The 19,053-nt window shown below is 47.7% G+C and overlaps 3 annotated features.

Annotated features, from left to right (window-relative positions):
- Positions 4,922-5,011: an enhancer, noted in NCBI's record as "active region_24614". NCBI's record gives its function as "activates an Ori minimal core promoter by ATAC-STARR-seq in GM12878 lymphoblastoid cells {active_cell/tissue: GM12878}" and the evidence as "EXISTENCE:reporter gene assay evidence [ECO:0000049][PMID:35858748]".
- Positions 13,593-13,887: a silencer, noted in NCBI's record as "tiled region #12588; K562 Repressive DNase matched - State 5:Enh". NCBI's record gives its function as "represses a minimal TATA promoter and a strong SV40 promoter by Sharpr-MPRA in K562 cells {active_cell/tissue: K562}" and the evidence as "EXISTENCE:reporter gene assay evidence [ECO:0000049][PMID:27701403]".
- Positions 13,991-14,180: an enhancer, noted in NCBI's record as "active region_24615". NCBI's record gives its function as "activates an Ori minimal core promoter by ATAC-STARR-seq in GM12878 lymphoblastoid cells {active_cell/tissue: GM12878}" and the evidence as "EXISTENCE:reporter gene assay evidence [ECO:0000049][PMID:35858748]".

Consider the following 19,053-nt stretch of genomic DNA (forward strand, 5'->3'; position numbering starts at 1 on the left):
TTCCTGCCCTCAGGTGCTCACAGCCTAGTGGGAATTAACCCTAACCCATCCCACATTCCCTGCCCTCCACGCTTCACCACTTGGAGGATCATCAAAGGCAGAGCGCAGAGGGCAGGGGAGGGATTCTTCAGGGCCCAAAGGCCAGGGAAGTTCTGGGGGCACCAGAGCAGGCAGCAAGAGTGGGAGCTGGAGCCAGCAGGCCCTGGGAGGAGTGCGCCTGGTCCTGAGATCCTTTTTGATGATGACTACCTAGGCTGCTTGAGTGGAAAGAGGATGGGGTACTATCTTTCCCCTTGCTGGAGGTGACTTCAAGCAGGACAATAGCCTGTTTGCTGAGCTGGAACCCTAGAGTCTGTTAAGGCCAACTTGAGTTTGGTAATAGATGATCCCAGAATTTTAAGAAAAAGAGGAGCACAGAGCCACAGAGCTGAGATGAAGGTAGCGGAGGACAAATTTCCATGTGGGGAGTGAGGCTCACTTACAGAAGCTGGTGAGTCTGAGGTGGTAGGTCTGGTTGGGTTCATGTCTTACGAAAAGTGACTGTAGTAACTTGACCTGTGAAATGGGGGATAATCTCATCTAAAATATTAAGTTCATCCATTCATTCACCAACAAGGTTTATTGAATGACTGCCATATTCCAGACACTGGGACTTCAGCAGTAAAAAGGCAGCCTCAGTTCCTGCCCTCTTGGAAATTGTGTTCCATTGGAGAGAAAGATAATAAACCTATTTTTATATGAAAAATGATTTCAGGCTGGGCGCGGTGGCTCACGCCTGTAATCTCAGCACTTTGGGAGGCTGAGGCAGGCGGATCACGAAGTCAGGAGTTCGAGACCAGGCTGGCCAACATGGTGAAACCCCATCTCTACTAAAAATGCAAAAAATTAGCCAGGTGTGGTGGCGTGTGCCTGTAGTCCCAGCTACTAGGGAGGCTGAGGCAGGAGAATCATTTGAACCCAGGAGGCAGAGGTTGCAGTGAGCCAAGATCGCGCCATTGCACTCCAGCCTGTGTGACAGAGCAAAACTCTGTCTCAGAAAAAAAAAAAAAAAAAGATTTCAATACAAATCTGAGAAGCGGTGAAGGGAAGCACAGGATAAGTTTCTATGCTATGACATTTTATCACAACTGGACCTGCCTGAATCTGTGTGATCCAGGAAGACTTCTCGGAGGAAGTGACATTTAAGCTGAAGTTTACAGGGATGAGAGCAATGTGTCAGGATTAGCTTCAGCTGTAAGTGACAGAAAACCCCCAAAATAAGAGTGGTTTAAACAAGACAGAAGTTTAATTTTCTTCCATAAGTGAAGCCCAGAGCTGGGTGGTCCAGGGGTGATGGAGAATCTCCATAGTCATCACAGGTGCCAGGCTCCCTCTAGCTAAATCCGTGGCTCCACCATTCTCACATTCTCACATCTCAGTCCAGAATGGCTTTTCCAGCTCCAGCCATTATGTTCATAGTCCAGTCAGCAGGAAGGAAAAAGGTGAGAGAGAAGGAAATGATATGCTCCTGCCTTTAAGAACACATCTTTGTAGGTGACACACCATTTCTACTCACAGACTTTTGGCCAGAGCTCAGTCACATGATTCTCCTAGCTGCAAAGGATGCCAGGGAATTTGTCTTTATTTTGGGCAGCCATGGGCCTATCACTAAAGAAGAAAGGGAGATGGCTAGACATTTATGCCACAAGGAACTATTCAGGTGAAGATGGGAGTACTAGAGTTGAGACTGCTAGGGTGAGGGACATTAAGAATGACTCAAGGATCCCAGGTTCTGCTGTGATCAGTGGAGTGTCTGGTGGTTGCATTTGCTAAGCTAAGGGACCTCAAAGAAGGAGCAGGTTTGCTGACCAGGAAGAGTTAAGTTTGAACGCATTGAGTTGAAGGGGCTGTGAGCCATCTGTGTAGAGAGGCTCATGGATATATGGGTCTGGACTCAAGAGACAGGTCTGGGGTAGAGGTCTATCCTGGGCATTGTAGGCATATTGGTGGCAGCTGCAGCCATCAAAGAGAGGAATGAGAAGGCCCAGGGAGCAGTGGAGAGAAGAGAAAAAGCCTAGGGCACAACCTTGAGAATGCTGGGAACATGTTCACCCTCATTTTGAGTTTTCCTTTTGGGGCATTGTCTCTTCTCCATCTTGTGGGGTGAAAAAACAAATGATCTGCTTTCCTACTCTAGAGTTGGAAGGATCCCTGGAGACTCATTGCACCAGGCCCTCCCTTTCACCTCCATGGAGCAGCCGAGGGGCGGCCATCTGACCTAAACTCAGCTGGTCAGACTCTTGGGTCTGGGCATCTTGAGCATCCTGACACTAGGATGGAAGGGGCCTTTGGAGTTCAGCCAAGTCACTTCTGTCTGGTTTCCAAGTTAGGTACTCCAGACTCCCAGTCGATTCTCTGACCTAGCTCCTTAATATTTTTCCAGTTAATTCTTTTGTTTTTTATTTTTTCTTATAAGTGCCAGAGGTGGTTTCTGTTACTCGCAAACAGAGAGGAGCCAGTGAAGGAAAATAAGATGGACAGGACTTCAGAGGGGCAGGAAGAGAGCCGAAAACCGGGAGCTAGGCTTTACAAAAATAAGCGAAAGAGTATATCTTGAAGAAAGGAGTAGCCAGTGGCGTCAATTTTTATTTAGAAAGTGTCCAGTATGTCTGTGTAAGCATGGGAGAAAAAGGCAAGAAGGAAACACAGCTGTTAACAATGAGGAATAATGGGGGGAGGCTTCGATAGATCTTTGTTTCAAAGGACAGGAACCCAACTCATACTTGCTTAAGACAAAAACAACAACAAAAAAGTAATTTATTGGCTTATATCACTGAAGAGTCCAGGGGTGAGTCTGTCTTTGGCACAGCCCGGACAATGTCTGCAGGGCTTGGTCTCTGCTCTCCTCTGTGTGGGCTTCCTTCTCGCGCATGTTCTCCTTAGGCAGTACTCCTGGAAACTCTTGGAATATACGTACCCATTTAGTAACTTCGGAGAGAGCAGAAAGCCATTCTTCTTCCCAGTGGCTCCAGTAAAATTCCAGGATTGACTCTGATGGGCCTGGTTTGGTCATATGTCCTTCCTGAACCAATCACTATGGATAGGACTTTTTTTTTTTTTTTTTTTTTTTTCTGTGCTTGAGTGGTCTGAATCTTCCCACGGAGACAGGGAGATGGAGTCATTTCCATCCAAGCCACTTTTACTGAGAGTGTAGGGACTGCCCAGAGGAAATCAAGAGGCTATTTATCAGAAGAAAGAATGGGTTCCGGGGGATGAAAACCCAATCTGTGTTCCCGTTGACTAGGGGGAAGGGTATAATGACTGGCTAGGTCTGCTCACAAGGCCATGCTTGGAGGACATGAGGCAAGTCCACTTGAGTCATCTTCCCCAAAACCACGGGCACTGGGCAGAAAAAACTACACTTGAACACTGTAGGTGGATTGAGGGGTGGGCAGAAGCAAGAAGAGCAAAATAGCACGGGGAAGGAACGGGTGGGCTCAAATCCAGAAATCCAGATTTGAATCTGAGTTTTGCCATTTGGTAATTTTTAAACTTCTGAGCCTCAGTTTCTCATTGGAAAACTGGATCAATGCAGGAACAGTGCCTGTAGAATTCTTATGAGAATTAAATGGAATACTCGACATAAAGGATTCAGCTCTGTTCCTGAAAAAGCCAATGAATGTTTGCTGTTATGATAGTGGTCTTGAACTTCCATGCGGGTGACTGTGCCCTTGATAAGGGGTCAGGCTGTCCTCGGAGCCCTCTTCCTCATGCCATCAGGGCCTCCCCAGCACAGGCCTCAGAACTCACTAACATGTTGCTCAGTCAAAGCCTGGCCAGATTCCAACCCCAGGCATGAAGGAAAGCATAAAGGATCTGGTGTTTGGGTGTGGTCACGGTGGGTCCTGATGGGGCTGCGTCAAGGCTAATGAGGAAGAGGCTGGAGGGCCAGGGATTGGCAAGGAGGAAGGTGAGGAGTAAGGGGAGGGGTGATTTTGGCTAGAGCCAGCAGGGGTCACTGCAGATCTAAGTAACTTCAGGGAAGCGGCAGGGCCACCCATGGGCCCTCCCACATTACTACCTGCCTTCGTAACTGGGATACAGGTCTTGGACCAGTTCTGGGGAGAAGGATTGGGATTGGACTCACGCAGTGGGAGGTAGCTGCCTAGGGCATCTGCCCTTGGTGTCCTCCGGGGCCTAGGCTGTCTCTCCTCCATGGAGGCTCTTCACCAATGGGGTGTGGGCCTGGCGTGCCACCGGACTCTGAGTTCCAGCAGTGCCTAGTAAGTGCATCTTGAGATGCTCCCCTATAAAGAGCTCTGAGATTAAATGCGTTTCCTTGTCTCGTCCCTCGTCTCTGAGGGTTGTAGCCCAGATTAGCATGTTAGAGGCTCAGAGAAGTCCTGCAGTCAAGAAAACCTGTTAGACTGTGTTTAACTCAGGTTTCCTGTGCTTATTTGAGCCCGTTTGCCACAACATAGTTAGGGAAATGCTGGCTTAAGGGTGGGAAAGGGGGTGTGCTTGATACATTAACCTTCCCCAAGAGCATTTGCCCTCCCAACACACTCCCTCCTCCACCCATTGCAAGTAGTGTGTGACACATGTCTGTTGTAGAAAAGTGGGGGAAAAAACTACAAAGAAGAAAGTTACCCATCCCCTGCCTCCAGAAGAAAGTTACCCATCCCCTGCCTCCTGCTCCTTAGTCTCTTCTCAAAAGAGCTCTGGCCACTGTCCTCGGTCTTCCTGGAGAAAGGGTGATGATGGAGCTCCCCTCAAGGCACACCCACTTCTACTGGGGAGAAGCCCCAAGAGGAAAGGGCCCTTTTAGAGGTCATCTTATCCACCCCTCCGTCTCCTCTCTGTGCAGATTCTTGCTTCCCTCTCTTGCTGACATTCCTACAGGAAGGGAGATGGTGGTGGTGGTTTGGAGGGTGTTGAGGGGCGCAGAGGGCAATTGGGTATGTAGATCATCAGGGTGGAAGGTGAGCTTCCTTTCTAGGTGGGGAAACAGGCTCAGAGAGGGGCCATGACTTACTGGTGTTTCACAATGAGCCAGTGGTGGAGCTCACAGATCCTGGCCCCAGACCAGGCACCCTCCTCCCCCTAACCCCCATCTCCAGCTCTCAATGCCAAGAGTCTGGAGCGGGCCCTGTGCACTCCAGGCAAGGCTGCGGTTTCTTCTGTGGGACTGTGGAGCCACCCAGGGTGTGTGGGTGCTGCGCACGCGCACCACAGTTGTGTAACAGGCTCTGGGGCGTGTGCACGCGCTCAGTAACCTGATGCAACAGGGAAGCTGTGGTCCCGTGAGCTGGGGTGTGGGCGCTTGGCCGGTGCCCAAACCACAAAGAGTATTTGGCTGGTGGCTAAGGAGGCCAGGCATGGGGGTCGCAGAGTTGTCTACGTCAGGGCTTGTCTATCCCTAGTTGCCCACATCCTGGTCCCTGTGGGCGCAGGGCTGGGAATGGGGCTGCCTGGCCAGGTGATACTGTGGAGGAGGGGTTGGGGCCTTGCCCCTTCCTCCTTCTGTTTGCCACGATGCCTATTGTGATGAGGATGGGGGGCAGGCGGGGCTTCCTCCCTGTGGTTCCATCTCTTCCTGGCTGTAACCCCCCAACCCAGTTCTGTACCCTGCTCTCTCCACCAATCCTGGAGCCCTCACCACAGATCCAGGTCATTTTACACAGCAATATCTGCCTCTCACTCCCCCACCTCCCCTGAGTCTCACAGCCCTGCCCTCCCTACATAATAGGCTTTCCTGGGCACCCCAAATTGGGAGAAGCAGAACGGGGAAGGAGAAGAAGAGTGGCCACTTTGCAGCCAGCCCAGATGCTGACTTTCCGCTGCCACTTCTGAACTGAGTGACTGAGAAAGATCAGTGTCCCTTCTCAGCCTCCATGTACTCATCTAAGAGGTGGGGGCAGTGATACTCCCTGCTGAGAGTGGTGGAAAGATAGTGTGCTCCTGTGAACAGGAGTCCTGAACTCTTGAACTCTAGGGTCTAGGAAAGAACTCCATGAAAGGGGAGTTGCCCCTTCATTCTGCTCCATGTGGATTGAGTGTTAGGGCACCCGCCCTCCTCCCAACTCCCCAGCATTTCTATCACCAGACAGGGTGGCAGGCACTTTGGAGAGCCAGGGTCCTGGGAGGAGGTGGCCCATGAAAGCAGGCCCTATTCTGCCTGCCTGTGGCCACCTGTGTACCCTCTCTCCCCTCTTGTCCGCAGGGAGGTGGGGCACATGCATTTCTTCTGCCCCTCTCCACTTGCTCCAGCACTTCAGAAAGGCAACATCCTTGGGGGTGGCCAGTGGGTTCCAGGGATGCAGGGTTAGGTGACGCAGGGAGGGCATCTATGCCCAGTGTCCTGACTCTCTTCCCTGGCTGGGCTGTACCTGGCACGTTGGGGCTCCTCTCCAGTGCTCCCAGGATGCCCTGGATCTACATTGCCTTATTCTGCACTAACCACCTAATGTTTTGATGATCTGCTTATGCATCTACCTAAAAATAACAAATGATGCACTTTGGGAGGCCAAGGCGGGAGGATTGCTTGAGTCCAGGAGTTTGAGACCAGCCTGGGCAACATAATGAAACCCCTATCTCTACAAAAAGTAAACAAATTAGCCAGGTGTGGTGGTGCACACCTGTAGTCCCAGCTACTCAGAAGGCTGAGGTGGGAGGATTGCTTGAGCCCAGGCAGTCAAGCCTGCAGTGAGCCACGATCATGCCACTGCACTCCAGCCTGGGTGACAGAGTGAGACTCCTCCATTCCACCCTCCCCTTCCCTGGGAAAAATAAATAATTGATGACACTTACATAGTGCTCACTATGTTCCAGGCTTTACATATACTAACTCGTTTGCTTCCCATGGTGGAGATGGATATGATTGTTCTCCTTGAGGAAACTGAAGCCCAGAGAAGGCAAGTAAGTGCCCTGCTCAAATTTAATTCACTTGTGTTGTCTAACCTCAGTCACTGTCCTATCACCCTGTTTTATTTTCTTCGGAGCCTTGCTTGGAAAAACAGTGGTCTACTGGTTTGCTTACTTGCCCATTGTCTGTCTCACAGACAGCACGAGACATCGCCTCATAGATAGCAAGCTCCTTGAGTGCAGGGCCTTCATCTTTCTTGTTCACATTCCCAAAGCTTAACTGATGCTTTAGAGAAGCTCAGTGAATATTTGTGGAAAGAATGAGCCACTGGCCCACTGAATGGAGACTCCTCGAGGGTGCACTCTGTGATTATTCATTTCTGTTACCCCCACACTTCCTAGCACAGGGCCTGGCACAGATACAGTGCTCAGTAAACTGTTTGTTGAGTGAATAAATGAATGAATGAATGAATGGAAAAAAATTCCAGAGGACTCAGTTGCTGTTGCTCTTCCTTCCAGACTCTGGGAACTAGTGGAAAGTCTTCAGCCACAGGAGATGTGGGAGAATATTCTTTCTGGATCTCTGTTTTGGTTTCTCTGTGTGATTTGGTGTGTGCGCAGAGTGGGTACACAGGGCGGAAAGCATGAGAAGAAGATTGGAAATGAAATAATCTCTGGGAAATGACTCCCTGAATAATTATTTCATGTCCAAAGGCAAGAGAGGATAGAAACAGAATATGTAGGTGTGGGCCCAGAGGAGGCCCCTAGTAAATGTTTGATGAATGAATGAGTGAGTGAGGCCTTTGAAGAAAGGCCCAGGCCATGATTTTCTTTGTAGTCCCAGACCCTAGGATGGGCTCAGACTAGAATATGATACGTTTGCTGAATGAATGAATGAATGAATAAATGAATGCACACATGAGCACAAAGGAGCATGGAAATGATTGGAAAGGGTGAGTGCTGCAAAGGACCTCAGAGTGCTGGTGAACCAGACCAGGGACAAAGATTCCAGCCTTGGTCCTTTCTCCATGAGTCAGGGTCTGAAAGTAAGGAAGGGGTCTGGTGAACGCTTAAAGCCTGGTTTCCCAGTCATTCTTTCCAGATGATCTGTGTGGGGTATTGTGCAAAGACGAATAATAATTGGAAAAATAATAAGAGCCCTGCCAGGTACAGTGGCTTACACCTGTAATCCCAGCACTTTGGGAGGCTGAGGCAGGTGGATTGCTTGAGCCCAGGAGTTTAAGATAAGACCAGCCTGGGCAATATGGTGAAATCCTGTCTCTACAAAAGATAGAAAAATTAGCCAGATGTGGTGGCGCGTGCCTGTAGTCCCAGCTACTCAGGAAGCTGAGCCTGGGGAGGTTGAGGCTACAGTAAGCCATGATCATGCCACTGCACTCCAGCCTGGGTGATGGAGTGAGACCTTGTTTCAAAACAAACAAACAAATGAACAAACAAACAATAAGAGCTCATATATATTGAGCACATACTATGTGCCAGGTTCTGCTCCAAGCTCTTTACTTGTTTTCAGTCATATCATCCTTTCAGCAACCACATGAAGTATTTTTCTCATTTTATAAAAGAGGAAACTGAGGCACAGAGACGGGCAATGTCCGTCCACGATCACATAGCTAGCCAGTGAACACACAGTCATCACTCGGGCTTGCTGGGGACAGCAGCGGCTGCCCACCTGTGTACCTAGGGGAAGGTCCTTTGTGCTTGGGTCTTGCTCTGGTTCTATCACCTCTCCAGGCCTCAGACCTTCATTTGCAGAATAGGAACATAACATTTTGATGTTCTGGGACATGGAAGTCAGAGGACTTTGTAAGCTATAAAGGGCTACCGGGATCTTTTAATGGAAATTTCCTCCTCCTCATCATGAATCACCATCATCTTCATCATGATCATCTCTAGACCTGGCCTCCTGCCATTAATATGCCAGGCTGGGCTGCAACCCTGGAAATCCTGGTAAGACAGACAAACTTACTTCCCACTCAGGGATAATTATTATCTAATTTGGCTTCCACTTATCTCTTATTTCCATTCTTCTTTTCTACCTTCTAAGCCTTGACTCACCTCCAGCCCCAGCTTCTCCTTCCTCAATCATCGGCCTCCCAGACTCTGGGCTTCTCTCCACCCCTATTAACTAATTTGCTGAATATGTAAATCAAAACTTGTTACTCTCCTGCCCTTGTGCCAAGAACCAACTCTAAACTCTTTTTATGAGATGAAAGGCATTGGTAATGTGGCCCGTGGAAACAACTCTTTTTCAGTCACCCCCAATGCCCTCCAGCCATGCCACATGGTTGGCAATTCCTGTAATAGGGTATTATTTTCATTCCTCTTTGCTCTTACCTGTGCTGTTCCCTCTGCCTAGCAGGTTCTTTCCAACTTTGTCTCCGTAGTAAATGTCCACGTATTCATTTTACCCTTCAGAACAAAAATGGCATTATTGTTTTTCCCAGTTATAAGAGTGAAGAGCGCTCATTGTATATAATTCAAACACTGTAGAAAAAACTAGAAAAAAAAGGAAATGTTTCTTCTTCCCATAGTTTCAACAACTGGAGATAACCACCGCTAAAATACGGTGGTTAAAATCATGAATGTTTTTCTATGCATTTATACACATATATCTTTAAATATGTATAAATACATACATATTTGCAAACATGAGATAATTCACCCTATATGGTAACCTACTTTTTGTCCTGAGTAAAATATTTTGGGTATCTTTTCCTGTGAATAATTAGTTTTACATAATAATTTTTTGTTCTTCAAAACTGAATTCCAATTCAAATGTTTATTCTCCTGGAAGGCTCTCCTGGTTTCCTACTTCCCTCCCAGTCCCCACCCACAGTGCCCCACCTCCGAGGACTCATCGTACCTTGTACCTCTTTCTTTGAAATCTTTGCCAATTATAAGGTCGTTAACTGATTTAAAAGGCAAATGTGTAAAACAATAATTATAAATCTACGTTAATGCGCACACAAGGTATAAAGATGTAATCTGTAACAATAATAATATAAAGGGGGAAGAATGGATAGGCAAAGGAGCAGAGGCCGGGCATGGTAGCTCATGCCTGTAATCTCAGCACTTTGGAGGCTGAGGCATGAGGATCAGTTGAGGCCAGGAGTTTGAGACCAGCCTGGATAACATAGTGAGACCCCATTCAACAACAACAACAACAACAACAACAAATTTAAAATTAGCCAGGCATGGTGGTGCATGCCTGTAGTCTTAAGTACTTGGGAGGCTGAGGCGGGAGAATCTCTTGAGCCTAGGAGGTTGAGGCCTCAGTGAGCTGTGATTGTGCCACCACTCCAGCCTGGGTGACAGAGTGAGACCCTATCTTTAAAAAAAATAAATAAGGAGGCTAGGTATGGTGGCTTACGCCTGTAATCCCAGCACTTTGGGAGGCCAAGGTGGGTGGATCACTTGAGGTCAGGAGTTTGAGACCAGCCTGGCCAACATGGTGAAACCCCATCTCTACTAAAAATACAAAAATTTGAGCATAGTGGTGAGTGCCTGTAATCCCAGCTACTAGGGAGGCTGAGGCAGGAGAATTGCTTGAACTTGGAAGGCAGAGGTTGCATTGAGCTGAGATTGTGCCACTGCACTCCAGCCTGGGTGACAGAGCGAGACTTCATGTCAAATAAATAAATAAATAAGTAATAAAAAATTGTAAAAAAGGAGCAGAACATTTGTATACTATTGAAACTAAGTTGGTATTATTAAAACTAAGTTGTTATAAGGTTAAGATGTTAATTGTAATCACAAGGTAACTAAGACAATGACTAAAAAATATGCAAAAAAGGAAACAGAAGTGAATCAAAATGGTACACTAGAAAAAAATCAACTAAATACATAAAAGGTAGTAATGGAGGAATTGGGGAACAAAAACACACAAGCATACAGAAAAACAAATAACTAAATGGGAGAAGTAAATCATTCTTTATCAGTAATTACATTAAATATAAATGAGTAAAATTCTCTTATTAAAAGGCAGAGATTGGCAGACTGAATAAAAAATGATATACTGTCTACAAGAGACTCATTTTAGATATAAGAGCATAAAGTGATTGAAAGTAAAAGGATGGAAAAAGATATCCAATGCAAATAAATAGTAATCAAAAAAGAGCTGGGATAGCTATATTATTGCTACACAAAATAGATATTAAGTCAAAAAAGTTCACCTAGCAGATATAACAATTATAAACATATACATACCTAAAAACATATACATACCTAAACCCAAACTATATGAAGCAAAAATGGACATAATTAAAGGGAGAAATAGACAGTTCTAAAATAATACTTGGAGACTTCAACACCTCACTTTCAATAATGGATAGAACAATCAGACAGAAAATCAATAAAGAAATAGACAACTGAACAATGTCATGAGTCAGTTATATCTAACAGAAATATATAGAACACTTCAATCAACAACAGCAGAATAAGCATTCTTCTCAAGTATGCGTGGAACCTTCTCCAGGATGGACCACATGTTAGGTCACAAGACAAATCTTATTAAGTTTAAAAAGATTGAAATAATATATGTTCAATTACAGAGGGATACAACTAGAAATCAACAACAGAAGGAAGACAATAATTTTAGAACTATGTAGAATTTAAACAACACACTCTTAAACAACTAGTGGGTCCAAGAAGAAATCACAAGGAAAATGAGAAAACACTTTGAGAAAAATGAAACGAAAACACAACACACCCAAACTAATGGAGTATATCAAAAGTAGTACTCAGAGAGAAGTTTATGGCTGTTAATGCCTACATTAAAAAGAAGAAAAATCTCAAATCAAGAACTTAACTGTACACCTTAGGGAACTAGAAAAAGAAAAGCAAACTAACCCTAAAACTAGCAGAAGGAAGGAAATAATAAAAATTAGAATAGAGATAAACAAAATAGATAATAGAAAAACAATAGAAAAAAATAAACAAAGCTAAACATTGGTTCTTTGAAAAGGTCAACAAAATTGACAAACCTTTAGCTAGATTGACTAAGAAAAAGAGAGAAGACTCAAGCTACTAAAATCAGACATGAAAGTGGAGACATTACTACTGATCTTATAGACATAGAAAGGATTATAAGATAATACTATGAACAATTACACACCAACCAATTAGATGACTTAGATGAAATGGACAAATTCCTGGAAACACAAACTATCAAAACCAACTTAAAAGGAAATAGAAAACTTGAATAGAGATATAACAAGTGAAGAGATTGAATCAGCAATCAAAAACCTCCCAACAAATAAGAGTCCAGGACTAGATATCTTCACTGGTGAATTCTACCTAACATGTAAAGAAAAATTGACACCAATCCTTCTCAAACTCTTCCAAAACATTGAAGAGGAGAGAACCTTTCCAACTCATTCTGTGATGCCAACGTTACCCTGATACCAAGCCAAAGACACTACAAGAAAACTATAGGCCAACATACCTTAAGCATAGAGATGCAAACATCCTCAACAAAAAACTGGCAAACCAAATTTAGCAGCATATTAAAAGGATTACACACCATGACCAAGTGGGATTTATCCCCATAATGTAAGGATGGTTTAACATACAAAAATCAGTCAATATAATGTACTACATTAATAGAATGAAGGAAAAAAGAGCCATACACAATTGTTTCAGTTGATGCAGAAAAAGCATTTGAGAAAATACAAAAATTTCTTGATTAAAAACACTTAATAAACTAGGAATAGAACTTCCTTAACATGAAAAAGTTGTATATGAAAAACCCACAGCTAACATCATATTCAATGGCAAAAGATTGAAAGCTTTCCCCCTACAATCAGGACAAGATAAGAATGGCTGCTTTTGTCACTTCTATTCAACACAGTAATGGAAGTTCTAGCCAGAGCAATTAGGCAAGAAATAAAAGGCACCCAGATTGGAAAGAAAGAAATAAAATGATCTCTGTTTGCAGATGATATGGATAAAATACCAAAATTTAAGAGCTAAAACTGTAAAACTCTTAAAAAAAAAGTGAGCCAGGTGTGGTGGTTCATGCCTGTCACCCCAGCATTTTGGGAGGCTGAGGTGGGAGGACTGCTTGAGCCCAGAGTTTGAGACTAGCCTGGGCAGTATAGTGGGACCTCATCTCTACAAATGAAACCAAACAGGGGAAAATCTTCAAGGCCTTGGATTTGGCAATGGTTTCTTTAGTATGACACCAAAAACACAGGCAACAAAGGAAAAATATAGATAAATTGGACTTCATCAAAATTAAAAACTGCCACTAAATTGTACACTTAAAATAGTTAAAATGGTGACTATTTATGTTATACATATTTTACCATAATAAAAAAAGTGAAAAAGAAAATAAAACAACCTAAACTAGGAAACACCCCATAACCTCCCAAATCCAATTTAAATGTTTATTGTCCTAGAAGACTCTCCTGGTTCTCCTTTTCCCCTTCAACACCTGTCCACTGTGCCCCTCCTCCAGGGACTCATTGTACCTCATACATCTCTTTTTGAAACTCTTCCTGCTTGTAAGGTCATTATTTGTTTACAGGTTGGTTACAAGTTGGCTCTGTCCCCCTATCCCATGATAACCCCCTCCAGGCAGTGTAGTCTGGGTTCACATTTCCACTCTCCCTAAGGTTAAGTTCCTTAACCACTCTGGGCTGCTATATCCTCATCCATAAAATAGGGGAGATGATGGCACCTACCTCGTAGGGCTGTGGTGAGGAGTCAGCAAGGTCATGCACTAAACTTCTTACTTAGAAGGATGCCTGCTACATTCAACCAATGTTTGCTATTATTATATGGGCCTGGCAAAAGGCAAATGGCTAGACAGGTTGTAAAATGAATGCTCAGTGACACTCCCTGCTCTCCTCCCTGCCATCCTTGGGGCTGTACATGTATATTTGAATGTCCAACACGGGGAGAGGAGGGAGCAAGGCCTTTGCACCTCTTCCCTGGCCCTGCCCTCTGATCCTGGCTCAATCCCCCTCCCTCCACACTTCGAATTGGCCCGGGTCCCTGCTGGGCTGGAGTGGGAAAGATTAGACAAGCTTCCCTCCACCCTGTCCTTGGGGTGTTGTCCCCAGTGGCAGGAGAAGCCCCACTCTTCTCCCTTCTCTCTGGCTTTTGCCTGTCTCCAAAGTGGGCCTTTGGGAGTGCCCAAGTTGGGGAGGATGGGAAGAACTCGGATTTGGGGGTTAGAGTCAGTCACTATCACATCAATCAGGGCCCTTTCATCAGCCGGAAACTGCTACATCCGGCTGCCCCAACAAGTTCAGACGGGGGTTCCCTGCCCTTCCCCAGCTTACCCTTCTTGCCCCCCTTCCCCAGCTGACAGTCACTCTCACCCTTCCCCGGATGTAAGGGACAGGCTGGGGCAAGCCAGGGACACACTCAGTTTCCCTTCCCTGCTGCCCCTCCCTGGCGTGACATTTACCTCTTCCCCCTCCTCCTCTCCCCACCCCTCCCCCTGCCCCAGCCCATCTGCCATAAGTCCCCAGGACCTGGCTAAGGCAGGGGCCTGGAGGTGAAATCAGGAGTCCACCTGCGGCTGACTGATTGGGCCTGAGCTCCTCGGGCAAGGTGCTTCAGTTAGAACCCTGGGACAGCAAGCCTGGGGGGAGGCCCGGAGCACACAGAGGGAAAGGGACCAGCCCAGGGCCATAGAGTGCTGAGCCAGGACCAGAACCCAGAGCTCTGGGTGCCTCCTTTTCTTTCCTTTATCCCCACAGCCTCAGTTTCCCTCTCTGTCTACTGTCTGGTAGGTCTCTACACTTCCTTAGAGCTCTGATATTATGGGCCTGCTTGGAGCCTCTCTCTCCTCTCCCACTCCCAGTTTCTCCCTGCTGAAGCGTCCAAGTTTACTGGTGGGGTGTTTGGGGTGGAGTGAGGGAAGCCTCACTTCTAGCAGGTTCAGGGAGCCTCTGTTTCAACAACATAATCCTCGCTGTTGACCAAGAGACCAGAGGCTATTCTGTGGGGGAGTGCCTGGTTTGGCAGTGGCCAGATTGTCTCTGCTTGGTTCACAGCTCAGTGCTCTGCCCACTGGACCATCCAGTCTGACATTTGACTTTTGCCAGCACCTGATTGTTCAAGGCAAACTTAACGTGTGGGAAGGATGTGTAAAGATATGGAGGCAACAACCTGGGCAGGACGCATGGAGTCAGAAGTCAGGATTCCCAGTGAAGCAGGTCGGGGAAGGCCTGCTGAGCCATACTCAGAACCCGGGCATCAGGGGGTCCAGACTGTGGTGTGCCCTGCCCTGGCCCTTTTCAAGGGTCCCGAAGGTCAGAGAAACCCTTCTCTTCCCTCTCTCAATTCTTTTTTTTGAGATGGAGTCTCACTCTGTTGCCCAGGCTGGAGTGCAGTGGCATGATCTCAGCTCACTGCAACCTCCACCTCCCAGGTTCAAGGGATGACTCTCGTGCCTCAGCCTCCTGAGTAGCTGGGATTACAGGTGTGTGCCACCACACCCAGCTAATTTTTGTATTTTTAGTAGAGGCGGGGTTTCACCATGTTGGCCAGGCTGGTCTTGAACTCCTGACCTTGGGTGATCTGCTGGCCTCAGCCTCCCAAAGTGCTGGGATTACAGACCTGAGCCACCGCACCCAGCCTTACTTATGACTGATCTACTTGAAAGAGTAAAAGAGCCTTACTAAGGTCACAGTCTCAAAGTCTTCCCTCTTGCCCAGTGACATGGACTGAATTGTATTCCCTCAAATTCATATGTTGGAGCCCTAAACTCCAGTGTGATGGTATTTGGAGATGGGCCTTTGGGAGGTAATTGGGTTTAGATGAAGTCATGAGGGTGGGGTCCCCATGGTGGGATAAGTGCCCCTGTAAGAAGATACCAGAGAGTTTTCTGGCTGTCTCTCTCTCTCTGTCTCTGTGAGAAAGCAGCTGTCTGCAAGCCAGGAAGAGGAGAGAATCCTCATCAGAAACCAAATTCACGAGCACCTTGATCTTGGACTTCCCAGCCTCCAGAACTAGAAGAAATAAACATCTGTTATGTAAGCCACCCAGTCTGTAGTATTTGGTTATAACAGCCTGAGCTGCCTGAAACAGACAGCATCACCAGACAAGGCTGCAGGTGGGTGGAGGTAGGGAGGCTGTGGGAGCCCTGAGGGGTGCTCTGAACCTGCCAGGTTCTTCTCCTGGTTCTACCCTTCCCCCATGAGCTGCATGACTCTAGGTGAGTCACTGGGATTTGGTCTTTCCATCCGGACAATGGGTCCTGACCCTGCCCTCTCCACTGCAGGTGGGTGTGGGAATCTCCAGGAAAGAGAGGGTGGGTCTCTGGGACAAGAGGGTCCTTTAGCTTCTACCCATCCCTCACCCCAAGGCCGGAGGCAGCTGCTGCCACAAAGACAATTGTCAATCAATCCTGAGTCAAAACACCTCAATCTCCAGAGAACATCTGACACAGGGGCAGGCAGGCTGTGGCCCTGCCCTCAGGGAGCTTACTGTTAGAGCCAGCCAGCCCACAGTTAGGGCCAACAGAGTCCCAATTTAAATCCCAGGAGGAGGGGGAGAAGCCCCCAACAGCCGCAGCCTAGACTCAGTGGCTGGCTAGGTGCATCTGCAAGTCCAAAGGCAGCTATGGCCCTTTGTCCTTCTCTCATCTGCCTCAGCCCCTCCCTCACTGCTAGGTGAAAGTCCTCTGCCTCCCACCGGGATGTGAGCACTGTGAGGCCTTGGGTGCTGCTGTCCTGGGGCCTAACAGAGTGCCTGCACATGGGAGGTGCTCATCTGGTGAAGGAAGAAATGGCTGATGAAACTCAATTCTTGCCTGCTTCCCTGTTTTCTCAACAAAGCCCCTCACCTGGGGCTTTGAGATGGGGAATATTACAAAGTCATGGGCAAGAGTGTTTTGGGAGGGATGTGGGGTAAAAAAGAAGAGAGGGAAAGAGACATACTTTCAACCAGACCGTGGGTGAGGGGCAGATTTGGGCAGAAACTTAAGAGAGTAGAAGACAGGGGTGTCTAAGAGGTCCCCTGGAGCTGTGGGCCCCCTTCCCCACTGTGGCCTTCCAGCTGAAGCTGGAGGCTGTGGGCATGGAGTATCCTGAGGCACAATCACTCCCCAAAAATTCCTCCACCACATCCTTGCTGGCTCCCTGTCTGGTGTTGATTTGGGGTGCCGGGGTTCTCCTTTTCAGAGAGTCTGGTGCCTGGGGGCTTGGAAGGGCTGAGAGAGGCCCTGAGGCCAAAGGCCTTGTAGGGTGACACGGTGGGGGCACAGGAAGGTCTTGCACAATGGGTGATCCTGGGTGTAGAGGGTGCCTTAGGTATTCCCCACCCCCACCCCTGCCCCTCACAAGAGGTTGCCAGATAAAATACAGGCTTCTCAGTTAAATATGAATTTCAGAGTCCTCAGCTCTGGGACTCCCTTCTGCATAGAAAGAATAAGCAAAAAATAAATGTTTAGTATAAGTAGGCCTCAAATATTGCATGGGCCCATGGGTGTCCTGTATTTTCATTTGTAACACTTGGCAACCCTACCCCAGTGTGCACCCTGGCCTTCATCAGGGACACGTTTCTCCGTCCAGGCTGCCTGGCGTGGGGAAGGCCCGAGTGGCGGTGGGCCAGCAGCCCTGCTCCAGGGGAGCTAGGAAGGGCCTGGGATGTGTGGGCTCCATGGCTGTTGCCCAGGTACGGGCAGTGGCTGTAGTGAGTGGTGAGGTGGGGCGTGTGTTTAATGGGGGAGGGGAGCTGGGCAGTGGCAGAGCCAGAGAGACAAGGGAAAATTTTTTTGTGGGTTCCTGTCTTGTTCCCTCCCCAGACTCACTGCCACTGTGGGCCTGAGTCATCGGGAGAAGGGGTTGGGACAGATAAAATTTTTCCACTCAGCCCCCAGCCCAGCAACCTGGCTCACCTGATCGACACCGCCCATTTGGAGGGAAATTCCAGGCCTAAATCCTGTCCGAAATTCTCTCTCTGGCCAGCCAGCCTGCAAAGGGGTTGGGAGCTCCTGGGGCTGGGAACATCTCCGGGCAAGGGAACTGGCTCTGGGACTCCCTTCTGTGCAAAGGAGAGAGAGAGGAAAAAAAAAAAGAGAGAGAGAGAGCCTGCTGAGGGGGAGCTGATGTGGCCACAGCTGGTCCCACTGAGGGCTGGGCTTGGGAGCGGCGGGGATGTGAGAGGGAGGCTGGGGTTGTGACGACATGTGCCAGATTTCTCCTGAGACTCAGGATCCAGCTGACACCAGTTTAGACCATCTCAGCCCCTGTGTGTGTGTGTGTGTGTGTGTGTGTGTCTGTATGTGTGGCATCTATGTGTATGTGTGGTGTCTGTGTGTGTGTGGTGTGTGTGGTGTCTGTGTGTGTCTGCATCTGTGCATGTCTGTGTGTGTGTGCGTGTGGTGTCTGTGTGTGTGTCTGTGCGTGTGGCATCTGTGTGTGTGTGTGGCACCTGTATGTGTCTCTGTGTGTGTATCTGTTGTGTGGTGTCTCTGTGTGTGTGTGTGTGGTGTCTGTGTATGTGAGTGTGTATGGTGTCTGTGTGTCTGTGTGTGTCTGTATGTGTGGCATCTATGTGTGTGTGTGTGTTGCCTGTGTGTGTGTGTGTGTGTGTTGCCTGTGTGTGTGTGTGGTGTCTGTGTGTGTGTGTGGTATCTGTGTGTGTGTGAGTCTGTGTGTGTATGTGCCTGTGTGTGGTGTCTGCGTGTGTGTGTGGTGTCTGTGTGTGTGTGTGGTGTCTGTGTGTGTGTCTGTGGTGTGTGTGTGGTGTCGGTGTGTGTGTGTCTGTGTGTGTGTGTGCCTGTGCGTGTGTGTGGGGGTGTCTGTGTGTGTGTGGTGTGTCTGTGAGTATGGTGTGTGAGTGTGTGTGTATGCATGCCCTTCTTGCCACACTGCTGGTGGTTAGAGGGGCTGCAGTTACAGAGCTATTGCCGACATGAAGCCCCTATTTTTTAACCCGGTCAGTGTTCAAGGCCCTTTGTGTTCAGACCTCAAGGTACCTTCCCGTGGTTATCTGCTGCTGCTCCCTTCCGTGCCCTGGGCTTGACTCCAGGTTCTCAAACTTAAATGTCTTCAGGAACTAGACAGGTAACTGGGGACAAGGGAAGTGGACTGGGGCAGAAAAGGATGGGGATGAGGGTGGGGCGATGGGAGGAGGTGTGCTACTCAACTTCTCAATGGTTGTTGCATTTCTGGAATTTAAGACTCCAAAGCCCATCCTCCCACCCCCACTCCACTGTTTACCTTCTGGCTT

Source organism: Homo sapiens, chromosome 6, assembly GCF_000001405.40.
Source record: "Homo sapiens chromosome 6, GRCh38.p14 Primary Assembly".
Taxonomy (NCBI): domain Eukaryota; kingdom Metazoa; phylum Chordata; class Mammalia; order Primates; family Hominidae; genus Homo; species Homo sapiens.